This window comes from Homo sapiens, chromosome 8, assembly GCF_000001405.40.
Source record: "Homo sapiens chromosome 8, GRCh38.p14 Primary Assembly".
Taxonomy (NCBI): Eukaryota; Metazoa; Chordata; class Mammalia; order Primates; family Hominidae; genus Homo; species Homo sapiens.
Window position 1 is genome coordinate 84,765,484 of NC_000008.11, and position 17,238 is coordinate 84,782,721.

The 17,238-nt window shown below is 36.1% G+C and overlaps 1 protein-coding gene across 58 annotated transcripts in view; it reads left to right on the forward strand.

Annotated features, from left to right (window-relative positions):
* The window catches only part of RALYL (RALY RNA binding protein like), a 739,058-nt gene that overhangs the window by 582,697 nt on the left and 139,123 nt on the right, over positions 1 to 17,238 (forward strand). For all 58 annotated transcript variants that reach the window (NM_001413301.1, NM_001413300.1, NM_001354325.2 and 55 more), the window contains one exon: positions 9,096 to 9,171. In NM_001413301.1, the coding sequence (NP_001400230.1) occupies positions 9,096 to 9,171 (76 nt within the window). The remainder of the gene's footprint in view (positions 1 to 9,095; positions 9,172 to 17,238) is intronic.

Below are 17,238 nucleotides of genomic sequence, written 5' to 3' on the forward strand. Positions count from 1 at the left end.
ACAAATAAGAAAGCCATTTAATTTCTCAGTATCTCAAACATCTATATATACGAAGTGGGAAGAATGGCTCCTGCTGTGCTTATTTCACAGGGTTGTTCTGAGGATCTCAACTAATAATAACTACCAAAACACTTTTTGGTGGTATGGTGCTTATACTTGGGTAATGTATGGTTATGTCCGTTCACTTGTCAAACATAACAGACTGTTTTCTTTATCTCCTGAATTTTTATTCAATGGAACAGTAATGAATCCCTAAATCTTCTAAATGTGAACAGTAAAAGAGACAGAATGACTTTTCCTGGCAGTCTGCATGCCATGACTGAATTATTTAGACTTCTATTTAAACCTGATGAGGAAAAAAAAAAAACCCTAAGAATAAAGATTTGTCTTTTAACCAATTATTTCAGAAAAATGTTTCTTTTAGACTTATTCACATTTAGAAGATACTATTGATAGTGTGGATGTCCTATTATAAATTAGATACCATTTCCATATCAAAGTTAAATATATCTGAAAAATGACAGAGCCAGCAGGGATTGCTAGTGGTAGAGTAAGTTGCAAATGTCAGTTTATTGTAGCAGTGTAAATTATATTTAATTTAAAAGACTACGTTTAACTTTTAAAATGAGGGTACTCCAAGTTGAATCCATGGCAAATAAATAAATATAAAATATTTTCCTAAACATGTCAGGGTATCTCATAAAGCAGTATCCTAGAGGAGCTCTGATTTGCTGGATGCTAATAGATATATCGTCCAAAATATCCTAAATTCATGTATATGTAAGAACATTTGAGTTAAATGCAAGTGAATCTTTTTTTGCAGTTTTATCTGTTAAGTGTAAATAGCCAAGAAAAGGATATAATGTAGCATTTTTACTAACAGTTTTACTGTGATAAATTTGTTTCACGATACCTAATAACATCTCCCAGCCAGGCGTGGTGGCTCACACCTGTAATCCTAGCACTTTGGGAGGCCAAGGTGGGTGGATCACGAGTTCAGGAGATCAAGACCATCCTGGCTAACACGGTGAAACCCCATCTCTACTAAAATAAATAAATAAATAAATAAATAAATAAATAAATAAATAAAATTAGCCAGGCATGGTGGCACACGCCTGTAATCCCAGCTACTTGGGAGGCTGTGGCAGGAGAATAGCTTGAACCCGAGAGGCAGAGGTTGCAGTGAGCTGAGATCGCGCCACTGCACTCCAGCCTGGCGACAGAGTGAGACTGTCTCAAAAAAAAAAAAAAAAAAAAAAAAAAAACTCCCAAAACATTGTTCTGATAAACACCATTTTATAAAATGTGTTGGCAACATGTGTTTGGTTAGACTTACTGGAGCCCAAAGTTATGCCTTTTGGTCTGTATAAATTTAATTAACAATAGACTTATTGAGCATCTATTGCATAAACAACAGTGCGTGGGGTGCTGAAGGGCATAAGAAACTGAGTGAAATTATGACTGCCCTTTAGAAGTCCAAAGTCAAAGGGCACCCATACTCAGTGTCATGGAAATGGTATAATAAAGTAGGTGCGAGGTGGGAGAGTCACATCTATTTGGGTGCAGAATTGAAAGTATCTTCCCAAGAGTCAAAAGCATGAAATAATAGAAATCCATTGTGATCACCTTTAATAGTATGCTTACAAAGATTGGTCAAATAAATGTAGTTACATGGCTGGTTAGTATTCTGGTGGATGACACTTTGGAATAGCACCCGTCTCCATTTGCTTCATCTCATTTGCCTCAAGTTAGAATAGGTTCAGCTCATTGACTTTTTTCAGTTCCATAAGTTTATAGTTATATCTGTCACGGCATCATGGTATTGCTTATTCAGTTTTAAATTAAAGAAGAAACAAAAATTGGCTAAATTTTTGAGAGCAGTTAATACATTTTTAATTAACTTACTGTGAAAAGATACAGTTAGTAGCCCAACAGGATATTTTTCAATTGTTTGAACCTGAGGTTTAATATCAGAGGGATAATTTTGGAGCAAATTTTACTTTTTTTATACTTTTTTCATGCTAACTTGAAATATTGAAACTTCAGAATGAGATGGGTCTATTCTCTGCTTAGAGAGAATCATGACAAAATGCAAATGGCCCTTCTCCCTTCAAGTGGGGGCGTGCCAGGCATCAATTAGCCACAGGTAGAGTTCTCTTAACCTGTGGTTTGTTCTCTTCTGCTTTATCCCTATGGCTGGAATGGAGTGAGAGTAGCTAGCTTCTCCACGCAGATGTGATGTGTAGTGCACCCAAACATAAATAAGTCTTATCAAAAGAATTCATTTAAATGGTGCCTGTTTGGTTTTATCAATCCTCACTCAGAAGAACATAATTCTAATAGCCAGATAACAACGTGGACCAGCCTGGTATATAGGCATCTGTAAAGGTACTTCTGCACAATGACTACAAATTTAACTAGGCTTTTTGAAATATGCCAAAAGCATTTATTGGGAGTGATTAAACCCACATCATTTCTTGAGAACAGTTTAAGAGCTCTGAACGTTGATATTTTGTATAAATCTCTTTGTAAATCCAGAAAACAAAGAAATAACACCTTACTTTTTGTGTCTCATGTTTTACTACAAAGCCCCTAGCTTATGAGAGCGTAGAAAATTGAACCTTGGTCATTCTTCCATTTACTCTACTTTGTGAGTAACTTACACAGTGCCAGGATAATCAGGGAACAAAACCTCAGGAGACTTCTCTGTTGTTGGTGACCACAGAGTTACTGCTAGGATGCCATACTGTGTGTCTGGTCCCTTCAAGGCCAACAGCTCTTGAGGCATGAGAACCTAAGCCTTGGCTTCCAATGAAGCTGGATTGTCCTGAATACCCAATTAATCTTGTATTTATAAAGTTCAATACAAAGGGACTGCTCGTTCATTCGAATCTTGGCAAAGCTTATGTTCACTATGATTACCTGAGCTCTTTGCCCACTGTACCCTCCTCCATGGAATCCTTTCTGCCCCTTTCACCCTTCTCCCTGTCTACTAAAACCAGGTTTTAGATGATAAACAACATAGCACTGCAGAATATGTAAATATGCATACAGATATCCTTCACTTAGGATGGGGCTGCATCCCAAAAAGCCCAGGGTAAGTTCAAAACGCTATAAATTGAAAGTGTGTGGCTGACTAGGAGCTATGGCTCACTTCCACTGCCCAGCAAAGCGAGAGAAGTATAGTTTCTACAGAATGCAAATTGCTTTCCTACCATTAAAAACTCAAAAATCGTTAAGTCGAACTGTCATAACTCGGCGACCATCTGTATTTAAGCATAAATTTCCATACATCCAAAAGAAAATTCTGCATTTGAACACGTTTCATTGTATATAAGTGGCAAAGTATTTTCTTTGGCATTTTTTAATACCTTTGAAAGGAGGTTAATGTGTGGAAATACTGAGTTTAACAACATTTCATGAAAGGTTTTTCATTGTATGAATATGCTGTCAATCTAAGTGTGTTTTCAGAATCACTGACAGTATATTATTTTTAAGAACAAGATAAATGCTACAATATTTTGTCAATAAACTTAAGTCTCAAGCTTTTTATTTATTGATGAGAATAATTTTACATGTTCATTTTATGTCATTAAGTCTAAGCTAGAAATATATAAAAGATGTCTGATGATATTTTCATGCGCATGTGCCCTCTACCATCATTACAGAGCTTAAAAAACTTGTAGAAATCTGTTTTTATTTTACATGCTTTTTTTGTTACAACTGTGTCACATCTAAAAGATTCAGACAGCCTCGATCTGGCTGTGCCTTATTCTAAGTCATACAAGAGTCACTATTTTCCTGAGTGATTCTTGGGTCTTTCCTCTACTCAGAACCCTAAATTACATCCCACTCAAATCAGCTTTGAAGCTCTAATGGGGTTTCTAATGATCTTCTCACACCCAATAATCCACCCACAACATGTTCTCTTTTCTTAAATATACCAGCTCACAATCTGCTAAAACCACTTGTTCACTAAAACCTAATGTCTCTGGCCCAGCACGGTGGCTCACACCTCTGTAATCCTAGCACTGTGGGAAGCCGAGGCTGGAGGATCACTTGAGGTCAGGAGTTGGAGACCAGTCTGGCTAACATGGTGAAACCCTGTCTCTGCTAAAAATACAAAAATTAGTAGGGCAGGGTGGTAGGTGACTGCAATTCCAGCTACTTGGGAGGCTGAGGCAGGAGAATCACTTGAACCCAGGAGGCAGAAGTTGCAGTGAGCCATGGGCGACAGAGTGAGACTCTGTCTCAGAGAAAAACAAAAACAAACAAAAAAACCCTATTTTCTCTGATGTGAATATTTATCAACACATAATTTACAGTTTTCATTCCTATTTTCTTAAATTCCTTATTAGTTATAAATTACATACAGAATAAAGTAAGTAAGTTATGAGGAATAATGCTGTAATTTACAGCCATGCTCTTACCACCCAATTTAAGAAATACTACCTTACTATTAACTTTAATGTCTTCTGGGTGTCGTTTCCAAGTCCCACACTTTTTCTACTCCTTTAGAGGTAAACTTCATCCTGAATTCCTTGTTTATCTCTGCCTTCTTTTTTTAGAAAAATGTTTATTTCCATAGGTTTTGGCGAACAGGTGGTATTTGGTTACATAAATTCTTTGGTGGTGATTTGAGAGAATCTGATGCACCCACCACCCTAGCAGTATACACTAAACCCAATTTTTAGTCTTTTACCCTTCACCCCCTCCCACCTTTTCCCCCGAGTCCCCAAAGTCCATTGTATCATTCTTATGCCTTCATATCTCCATAGCTTAGCTCCCACTTATGAGTGAGAACACACGATGTTTGGTTTTCTATTCCTGTGTTGCTTTACTTAGAATAACAGCCTCCAGTTCCATCCAGATTGCTGCAAATGGCAGTAATTTGTTCCTTTTTATGGCTGAGTAGTAGTCCATCATATATATATACACACCATAATTTCTTTATTCACTTGCTGATTGATGGGCCTTTGGGCTCGTTCCATATTTTTGCAATTGTGAATTGTGCTGCTATAAATATGCACGTGCAAGTATCTTTTTCGTATAATGACTTCTTTTCCTCTGGGTAGATACCCAGTAGTGGGGCTGCTGGATCAAATGGTAGTTCTACTTTTAGTTTCTTAAGGAATCACCACACTGTTTTCCATAGGGTTGTACTAGTTTACATTCCCCCACCAGTGTAGAAGTGTTCCCTTTTTACCAGATTCATGCCAACATTCATTATTTTTTGATTTTTTTATTATGGCCATTCTCATGGGGGTAAGGTGGTATAGCACCGTGGTTTTGATTTGCATTTCCCTGATCATTAGTGAAGTTGAGCATTTTTTCAAATGTTTGTTGGTCATTTGTATATCTTCTTTTGAGAATTGTTTATTCATATGCTTAGCCCACTTTTTGATGTGATTATTTGTTTTTTTCTTGCTAATTTGTTTGAGTTCTTTGTAGATTCTCGATTTTAGTCCTTTGACAGATGTATAAATTGTGAAGATTTTCTCCCACTCTGTGGGTTGTCTGTTTACTCTGCTGTTTCTTTTGCTGCACAGAAGCTTTTTTTTCTAGTTTTATCCCATGTATTTTTCTTTTTATACAATATATCATTCAATTTTGCAATTAAATTTACATGAAAGAATTCATACTGTCAGTATTTTTCCAGGGCATTATTTTTGTTCAGTGTTAGGTTTCTGAGGTTATCAATATTTCAATATTTCCTATGGCCCTAATTCATTTTCTCTCTCTCTCTCTGTCTCTGTCATTTCTCTACTGTTGTATAGTATTCCTTTTGGTAAATATGCTACCATTTGTTTATCCTATTAAAAATACAATGGGTATTTGTGTTTTTTCCAGGAATCTTTTCAATTCCAATGTACTACAATGAACAAACTTGTATATACCGTATGGTACACATGTGTAAAAGGTTTTTTAAGTGTGTACTTCCTGGATCACAGAGTTTGAACATTTTAAGTTTATTAGAAACTGATGAATTATTTTTCAAAATAGTTTTTACCATGTACATTTATATCTGCATTCTACACAAATTCTATTTGCTCAGAAATGCCAGCATTTGATATTACCAGGCTTTGTAAAATGTAAATTCAATGGGTTTTATTTGTATCTCATGATGTTTTAACTTGCATTTCCCACTACTAATGAGGTTGAGCATTTTTTCATGTGTTTATTCACCACTCATGTTTTCCCTTGTGTAAAGTGCTTTTACTAGGCTTTTTATTAATTTTCTATTTGGTGTTTTGACTCTCTTTACTATGATATGCATGAGTTTCCTATATATTCAAGAAACAAATCCTTTGTCAAATTTATGGTTCTTTTCACTGTCTTTATGTGGCTTTTTATGACCAGAAATTCTTAATTTTAATGAAGCAGAATTTATCAATTTTGTATTTTAAGGTTAGCGATTTTTTATGTCTGGTTTAAGATTATCCTCCCATATTCTTAGCTCAAAAAGATATTCTATTTTATTGCTTTCTAAACATTTTATATTTTTTCCTTTCATATTTAGGCAATAGTAATTGATTTTTTTGGTATGGTGTAGGTAGATGTTCAATTTCATATTTGTCCTTGTGGATAACCAATCATTCCATCATTATTTATTTAAGAATCAGTCTTTCCCTCACTGATCTGCTATGTCGGCTCCATGTGTTTATATATGTCAATTGTATGCATGTACAGTTTTGTCATATATACGTGTGTGTATTTCATGTTCATTGGTCCCTTTCCTATCTCTCTACCATTACTACAGCCTTAATTACCACAGCTTTAAAATAAATATTGATAAGGCAACTTTACCAACTTCATACCTTTTTTCCAAGTGTATCATGGCTATGTTTGGCCTTTGTTCTATTGTACAAATTCAGAATCAGCTTGTCAAGCTTCAGGCATATACATAAAAAATATTGGGGATTTTATTGGAATTACATGGAATCCATAATTATCTTGAAGATAACTGACATATTTATTATATTGAGTCTTCTAATTTTTCTGTTTATATAAGGTAACTGTAAAATTTTTCAATACAGTTTTATAATTTTTTTCATTAAGGTCTTTCAAGTGTTGTAATAGATTACCCCTTAATACTTTGTCTTTTATAGTATGTAAATAATATACTTTAGACTGTATTTTATACATATGATTGTTGTATAGAGATATACAATTGAATTTTGTATACTGGCTTTGCATTCAATAAACTTATTAAACTCTCTTATTAATTGTAATAATCTGTGGATGCTTTACAATTTTTTACATGAACCCACATATCATCAGCAATTAGTGACAGTTTTATTTCTTCTCTCTCATTTCTAAAATTGCTTTCCTGTCTTACTGCACTGACTAGGACATCTAGTACAATATTATATAAAGTTTAATATAGTGGGTGTCCTTTTAAATTATCTGATCTTAAAGCAAGTGTGCCCAATGTCTCACTAGACATCATTTCTTGAAGCATTAGGTATAATGTTTAATATAGATTTTTGTAAATCTTCTTTATTAAGTAAGGAATTTTTCTTCTCTTCCTAGTTGCTAAGGCTTTTGTCACATATTTGTCACCTATGTTGAATCAGATGATTTTATGTCTCACATTCTTTAACCTGGGCATAGTGACCTGTGCCCGCTGAACCACAAGGATGTAAAAACTAAAACTCATGTTCTGGCAGCAACAAGTATCTTTAAGGAACAAGCCAGGTGCAGTGTTCTTTTTCCATTTGATTTCCTGTTTCCACTCAGGTGGAATGTTCTTCAAATCCCTTACTTTCTTGCTAGTTTTATGTTGCATTCTTTAAAAGGATACATTTATATTTTATCCAGAATTTTTGGTTGTTTTCAGTGGTGGATAGCTCAGTGTATTTAGTCCACTGTGCAAGAAATAGAAGTTTTCCCTTTCCTTTCTGTCAAAATAATATCCCTCATTTCTTGAAGCACATCTCCTTTAGATTTCCCTTTCTATCATCATTTGGAAATTTTAACTTTGTTCAATCTAGTTATTTATATTACTTTCCAAACCTTCTCCTCCCAACTTTCCAATTTCTTAACAGTTTTACATATTTCTTTAAGATTGAGGTTGGTCAGTTGTATGCATAGACTGTTTTGTCACATACTTAAACCTCTTTTTGTGTATCCCAGAGACAATAATATTTTCAGTTTATGAAGGCAAAGTATGTGCTCTCTTCTCATTTTGACAACCTTGGAATTCAATAACTACATATTCCAGTTGCTGAGTGCATTTTGTTGCTCCTTTAGTAAACCTGGTATGATTTATGATCAAATCCTTCTAGCTTCCTTTTCTATATAAATGGAAAATATATCATAGGAAATTTAATAAGTCCTCCTATGAACAGAACTCTATTTCATACAAATGTTTATGCATACTGAAAAATTCTTAGCGAAAAATGAAAATCAGAAGAACATTTCATTCTCTTTTTGTTTCATGAAGCATTTCTGGCCAGTCACAGCGGCTCACACCTATAATCCCAACACTTCGGGAGGCTGAGGCAGGAGAATTGCTTGAGGCCAGAAGTTTGAGACAGCCTGGGCCTCCTAGCCAGACCTCATTTCTACAGAAAATTTTAAAAATTAGCCAGGCATAGTGGCACATGCCTGTAGTCCTAGCTACTTCAGAGGCAGAGGAAGGAGGATTGTTTGAGACCAGGAGTTCAAGGTTACAGTGAGCAACGATTTCCCCACTGCACTCCAGCCTGGGCGACAGAGCAAAACCCTGTCTTTTAGGGAAAAAAGAAAAGCATTTTTGATTCTCCTCACTTTGCTCAACATTTTGATTGTTTATAGTACTCATCGTTTTCTAATATGGTATATAGTTTTTAATTATTATGTTTGTTTCTCACTGTCTTCCCCCAGTAAAATGTAAGTTCCACAAGGGCAGAGATATAATCTGTTTTGTGCATGACATATCCCAAACAGTGCCTGACATAGAGTAAATGCTCAATAAACATATGTTGAATGAATCAATGGTGTACAATATTTGCATAAACAAATAGTAAAAAGAAAAATAAAAGTTCATGATTTACTTTTCTCAGATGGTTTCGTATTTTCTTAATCAGTACTGTTTTATTTTATGCTTTCAGATATCAACATGGCAGGAGAGCCCAAACCATACAGACCAAAACCTGGAAACAAGAGGCCCCTTTCTGCACTTTACAGGTAAGTAGATAAGCACTGTTTTACTCTATATATTAGTGAAATTTTCTTGCAGCTTTATAAGGCAATATAACTTGTAAGGCATCCACTATTTAAAATAATAATCCTTATTGGAATAAAGTACAACAAATGTTGTTGGTCAACATATAAATATATCTTGCTGCATTGGCAAGGATCTCAATGCCTAACCTTCTCATATCTGCTTATACAACCCTTCTACGAGATACTTATCTAATAAAAATCACTAATGACTCTACCTGACAAGTAGGTGGAAAGGCCAATGTTGGTTAACTTTTTTTATTTTATTTTATTTTTTGAGATGGAGTCTCTCTCTGTTGCCCAGGCTGGAGTGCAGTGGCACAATCTCAGCTCATTGCAACTTCTGCCTCCCAGGTTCAAGCGATTCTCCTGCCTCAGCCTCCCGAGAAGCTGGGATTGCAGGTGCCCACCACCACACCCAGCTATCATTATTATTATTATTTTTAGTAGAGACACGGTTTCACCATGTTGGCCAGGTTGATCTCGAACTTCTGACCTCAGGTGATCTGCCTGTCTCAGCCTCCCAAAGTGCTGGGATTACAGGCATGAGCCACCACGCCCAGCCCTTGGTTGACTATTAACTGCATGCCATGTTCTTTAGCTATTTTACATATGTTGTTTAATTTAATTTTCACAAGACTCTTGCAATGTAGATATTCCTGTTCTCATAATGCAGCTCAGGAACCTGAGATGCAGTTTCTTAGTGATTTTTTCAAGGTCACACCACTGGTTAACAATGGCACCAATACTCAAACTCATGCCCTCTGTACCTTAAATTCCACTCAGTCAGTCAGCCTTCTTTATTACAAAGTACATGTTTCTCTCATGACCATTTTTCCCAGACAACAAATATAGTCCTTCTCTTCTCCAGAGAGACAGATCCAATTCCTTTAACCTTTCCTGAAGTGCTTGGGTCTGAGTCACTTAACACTCTGGTCTTTCCCCTCTACGTGCCCCAATTTGTCAGTGTCTATATCTATGCGGAGAATCCAGGTGAAGAGATTTAGCACCTTTGTTGTTCTGTATATACTTCTATTATGTTAAGTAGAATTGAGTTGATTTTGGGGAAGAGTACAAGAGTAAACTTATATAACTTTCAGTTCTTTAAGAACAGCCACTTCTGAAAAAATTATGTTCTGCTGTTAAACCATATGTCCCACTTCATGTGCTTTTGCCATTAGTTTTTGTACTGTAAGTGCTGACTTTGTGTCTATTGCTGTTTAATTCTCTTTTGTTAGATATAGCCAATTGTTCCAGGCTATTGAGATCTCCTGTCATCCTATTTATTTGGTTTTCTCCCAGATACATATCATCAGTCCATCAGTATCTGCATCTGAAGAGTTAACATAAAAGTGTTGAGCAAGGCTTCCTTTTTCTCTGATATCATTTGGATAAAGGAGAATTAAGTTATATGTGTTAAAATTGATTATTTTCTGATTTAGTATAGTAAGAAGAGTGCTCAAAAATAGCCTGGAGCACTTTCCTTGTTTTTGTTCTCTGAAAACTAGCATATCTTCTTTTCAGCCACTTATAGCCTCATTTTTTGAACTCTAAGATGAGGGTCAGAACTAGATCACTTCTGAGGTCCTAGTCATGCCTAGTACCCCAGGGCTCTCTACTGTATGGTATTCAGAGATTTTTAAAGCTATACTGAAAAATACATCATAATTTCTCTTATTTTGGTTGTTTTTGTTTTAATAAAACATTTTCTTAAAAATGGAAAGCAATAGAGTATAACAAATGTTGATAGTGGGTCATGGGGTAATATTGACATTAAAGAGCAGAGATGATGTTATCAACAAGAAGCAAATGACACATTCTGTACCTTGTTTGAGGTAAAGGAGATGATTTATAAAACCGAGAAATTTTTATCAGATTCATTTGTAAATGTATACATTAGAGCTGCAGCTAATGCAGAACATTTGAAAAGTCTTATTTTCAATTACTGCTAAAACAAGCTGCCAATGGCTTTTTTTTATCATCAAAGAGTTGCTACTGTCTGTGCAATGATGTTAATTTTCATATTTTCTCTTTTCTTGGATTGTTTTGATTTTCTTATGAGAATGGAAGCTCATGACATGAATGTCATTTTCACTATTATTTCTCTATTACTGTTATATTCAATTGTGTTCAAAAGAACTAGAAGCAGAATTTCATTTAAATATGCTATATTGCATACAAGCCACATTAGTGAGAAAGTGCTTATTTATCCTCCTTTTATCTGTTTACACAAATTAAGGCTGTACACTGAAATTGCAAAACAGTAATAAAGGGGATACAAAAACGTGAATGTATAGCTGAGGAAGCCCTTTTATACACATTTTCTCATTCTCACGTAAGCTTAAGAAAAAAATTACCTTAATTTTATGTGGACAAACTATGCTTTCATAGTCATTCACCTGTTCATCAGATAACTCTACAAAATTGGTAGTATATACTATGCTGTATAAATGAGAAACCTGAGTTTCCAAGACAATAAAGGGTTTGTTCAAGACAAGATCACAGGATTAGGAAATGTGCTCGGTTTTCAGCCTTCACGTCTAGTATTCTCACCACTAGATTATAGCTCCCTGTATTTAGTCACTTGCTACCATCTAAACAACACAGATAGGGAAAGTAGAGATTTTCTGAGCATCAAACCAATCATCAATACTATTACTGTCCATGAATACCATGCCAGCAAGTGGCAGAGGAAATACTATACAATAAACACTACATAAGAAAAAACAGATATACCACCTATCTGTGTGATCATAGGGCACAGGTTTTAAGCTTCAAGTAAGTAAGTTCTTTTTGTAACATAGTAGTTGTATAATTTTCCTGAGAGGATAGAGTTGCATAAATGAGGTAAAAGCATTTAGTTCAATGTAGAGAATATGGTGGCGGCTTGGAAAAGGGATGGTTTTTGCTTTCCTGTTCTTTGCATCTCTGAGTCTGTGTTTTGTTTTGTTTTGTTTTATTTTGCTTTTGAGACAGAGTCTCAATCGGTCGCTCAGGCTGGAGTGCAGTGTCGTGATCTCAGCTCAGTGCAAGCTCCGCCTTCCAGGTTCATGCCATACCCCTGCCTCAGCCTCCCGAGTAGCTGGGACTACAGGTGCCGGCCACCACACCTGGCTAATTTTTTGTATTTTTAGTAGAGGCAGCATTTCACCGTGTTAGCCAGGATAGTCTCGATCTCCTGACCTCGTGATCCGCCCACTTCGGCCTCCCAAAGCGCTGGGATTACAGGCGTGAGCCACCGCACCCGGCTTCTGAGTCTGTTTTCTTATCTGTAAAATGCGAGAGGGGGACTCTTTTTACTCGGTCATTCATTCATTCATTTATACAAGATATATTTAGTGTGTATCTACTATGGTCTAGGGACTGTAATAGTGCTTTTCTAGGAAACTAGCATAGAAAATGGCAAGAACAGGGTGAAGAGAGAGCATAACGTAATGAAAGTAAGTTATTTGTATGAAGGTAGTCTCTGATTTACCTTCCTGCTCTAAACTGCTATGTCTCTATAACTATTCTATTTGGACCACTAAGTGAACTGCCGCCAGACTTTCTTCTTCACGTACATCCACTTTATCTCCAATACCAATCACAAAGTGGTATTCACATGAAATATCCACTGAGGCATAACTTTGATTTGTTTCTTCTTTTAATAGGATTTTCAACTCAGCCAAACAACCTTCAATAAGGCCTTATTATGTGCTAAGTAAACATGGTATACATAGAAAATAAAACAGTGAGACTTCAAAAAGCTTACAGTCTTATGCATAAGTTAGATGCACAGATGAATAAAGACAACTGAGAAGTATGCATACACTTCTGTAAGAGAATAAATGAGGAAGTTACTGATTCTGCCTAGGGAGCAGGGAGTAAAAACATCTGGAAAGTTAAAGGAAGAAGACAACACTTGAGCTGACTTTTGAAGGGAAAGAGAGAGGGAAGGGCATCTCATAGTAGGAGCTAGGATAGTCTACCTTGTGGGGAATGGAAAACTGGGGCATTATGGTGCCCAGGCTGTGAATATATCTATATATCAGGTTAAGGAGAGCTGACTTTTATTCTGTAGGCAACAAGGAACCACTTAAACATGGTGACTGATCGGAAATGGGGTGTGAGGAGAGAGAGTCACAAATATGTCCAGGGTTTTCTAGTTCAGGCTACTGAGGGAATGATCACATGAGCTGAATAGAAGAAATAGGAAACACATGATAAGCAATGGCAGGCTCAGGTGTAAGATCGAGGAAAGGGAGCAAAAAGGAATTATTTCAGTCTTGGACATGAATTCATAAAGACAGACAATTCATTAAAATAGCACTTGCAATAAAAATGTCTCCCATTAGAGTCTATTTGTAAATGAAACATAATTAATCATTTGTGAACATTTCATAAATATTGGACCTGGCCCTAATGGTGAATAGCTAATCCATTCTCTAGGGAAAACATTGTAACTTTTAATAAATTGCTGCTTCAAATACGTTATGTACATTACACAATATCTGTGGCACTCTAAAATAATAATTCTCCCCCAGGAAGTGAGTTTTCCAGCATGCCAACTTTCAATTAATGCTCAATAATTGCTAAATGAGAATAATTGTATGATGGTTTTACTTCTATTTGTAAAGTAGACAGACCTTTCCTCTTTGATGGAAAGCTAACAAAAAATATCAGAGAACAAAGACACTATTTATAAGAGATGAACAACAATGGATTTTTTTTCACCTAGAGGTGACTCCCTTCTACTTGCAGGGAACTCAACTCAGTAAGACATGTAGTATATATAGTTTCATCCCATTGATTCTGTAAAAATCAATCATCTGGTACTATTGCCAAATATTGCTTTTGGCTATCATACAAATGCCTCTTGTAGCAACCTTCCCATCCCACCCAGATGACCATGAGAATCAAGATTGTCACAAGTCATTTCAAGAGTCTTTAAGATTGTCAGAAGATAACCTACAGTTACAGCCACCATTTTAAGATCATCACAATTGGTGGTGGTCACCATGAATGTGGGTTATATTACAGTAACTCCAATGATAAAAAATAACTTTCAGAGCACAGACCAAGTAAGGTGACTGCAGCAAAATATCTCCGGTGATTCATTCACCACTGGACCTACGTGAGTTTTGTTTTCTTCCTTCATGGTGGCTCTAGCACATCATGGGAAAAGGGACCCTTGAATCACCTAAAATGTTCCCTAGAACCTTGAAAGTAGAAATGAAAGTAATGTAAGCTAATTTCAGCTAATGCTAAATAGCAAAAATCAGTATGAAGGAAAAACATCCTGGTCATCTTCACTTCATTGACTTATACTGTTTGCTGAGAAATGTTTACCAATTAGCTATTGATCATTTTATTCATTTTCTGTCTCCTTTTATAACATCAAGGATAACACACATTCCCTTTCAGAAGCTTAATATTTCCATTATCATTATCTCCCTTTGCACTGGCAAAGGCTTCCTTCCATTTCACCTACCCAGCCAGATGGTTCCACTCAAACTACAGTGTGAGGAGGAGAGGGAAATATTTTCTCCTACCCGCCATATTAATACATCCTGTCCTTCTGAAACTGACACAAGCCCAAACACTGACCTGCCTCCCTGGTTTACTTTGAATGTATGTTATTGCTTAGGTCTACATAGCAATTGCAGTCTCTTTCTGCTCAGGATCCTATCTTTCCTGTGCAACCAAATTACTAATGTATGGTTATCAAGATCCACAAGAGAAAATACCAAAAACGGTGTATATTTCTAAAACTCAAACCTGAATATCCATACATCTGGGTAATTGAGGGAGAGTTCTCTAATTCAGAAATCTCCACAAATGAATGTTGAAATGCTTTTGTTCTAGAAAAGGGGTCAAACATTCACTTTATTGATTGTTTAAATTTGTGCAAATGTTTTATGTGTGCTTGTTCAGTTTGCTTGGTGGGAAAAATGTTAGACATACCTCCTAAAATAACCTGAGCATTATCAGTGCTTTGAATTTGATTTTTTTGTTCCTCAGCTTTTTGGGCTGCATAAAGGAAGATATAAAATTTCCTAAAAGGTAATGTATTTAAGGAGCCTGCAACTATTAGAGATACTCTACAAATTTTAGTTATCCTCATCATTATGATTATTCAAAGAAAACATCTATGATAAAGTATTTTAGGAGGTTTTTCTTGTTTTTTGTTTGTTTGTTTGTTTTTTAAGACAGGGTCTCGCTTCATCACCCAGGCTGGAGAACAGTGGGCGTGATCTCAGCTCACTGCAACCTCCGCCTCCCAGGTTCGAGTGATCTTCCCACCTCAGTCTCCTGAGTAGCTGGGACTACAGGTGTGTGCCACCATACCTGTCTAATTCTTTTTTGTATTTTTAGTAGAGACAGGATTTCACCATGTTGCCCAGGCTGGTCTCAAACTCCCAAGCTTAAGCAATCTGCCCGCCTCAGCCTCCCAAAGTGCTGGGATTACAGGTGTGAGCCACTGCTTCCAGCTTTGAAAGGTTATTTTATATGTTTTTAGCTATGATGATGTTGCTAAATCTCACACAGTCAACTAAACAGGTTAATGTTTTCTATAACTTCTTTAAAAATAAAATTTTTTAAAAGATTATTTTACTTATAGTATGTTCCTCACATTTTAACACTAAGCAAATATAACTTATAGACCTTTTATTTAAAATGTTCAAAAAAGTGCTGACACAATACCCATTAAATAGTTCTGCTGCGGGCAATTCTCTCTGCTAGGCTAAAGAATGGCCTATTTGCAGTTTTCTGTTATGTTTTTAATGCATGAATATCCATTAATATCTTCTGGCATATAGAAAGAATAGAGTAGAGGTAGAGGGAGAACTTAATGCAGAGAATCCATCTCTAAGACCTTTGTGGTTTATGTTGCTAGTCTTCAGGTTATTTGAAAGACTACATTACTATTTGTTTGGTTTGACATAGTTTATGATAAAAATCAAAGGAAGTAAAACCATGCAATCAATTTTAAAAGGAGAAAAGTAGCAAGAGTCAATAATTCAGTGGGAATTGAGGGAGGTGGGCAGGTAGGATCAAGCAAATCAAGCAAAAATTTAATTATACTAATAAAACTTATGCAGTCACAAAGTATTACATGAGCACAACAAACTTAGCCATGTGATTCATGGTAGTCAAGGCGAAAACAGGAGCAAAATAATCTATGTAACCATGTAGTAAAAGAAAATACTTGAATATGTGTGAGAAGAAACTATGTTTTCCTAACTCTGTTTTCTGATGTAAACTTATTATATAGGCCTTCATAGGAAGTCATCTAAACAGCATAGCAGGTACCACCTTGAGTAGCATTTAGACAATACGTGCATGCTGTGCACACGCGCGCACACACACACACACACACACACACACACACAGGTTTTAAAGCTGATGCCATTTTTCTTATGAACTCAATAAAAGAATCACACGATATTCCTTTCCTTTCTGCTTCTCCCAAGGCAGTTTACTATACTGTGACAAATTTATCATCCTATAAAATTCTAGGAGTAGTGTTCCATGTAGCTAGATCTACAGACTAGGCCTTCAAATTACCACACAGCTGCATACTTGGAGGAGATAGAAAGGAAAAGTGGGCTGACCCCTTGCTTGGCTTATCCACTCAGCTTCTAAGTCTAGAAGAAAAAGACAATGCTTGAATGTCTAGAACCTGTAACAGTGACCACTTGAGCTGCTACTTAAGACTCCTCTTTCTTTGAGGTAGGGAGAAGTGGAAAAGGAATAGTAAACCAAGCATGGGATAGAAAGGGCTGAAATTTCACATCATTCTTACAGTTGGCAGGTGCCAATGAAGACAGGCAACTGATTCTTTCTAACTGTTGGTTTTACTACACCTTGGAAACTGTAGCCTGTCATGAAATTGTTGCTTTCTTTTATATATAAAAGCATGGTTCTGTGCTGAAGCTAAGATCTCTTCATCAGCAGGACTCACATTATGATCTTTTATGCTATATTCTCCTGGCATCTCACTGTGGGGTATTGCGGTTAGAGCACCAACAACAGCGCTAGTCCCTACTG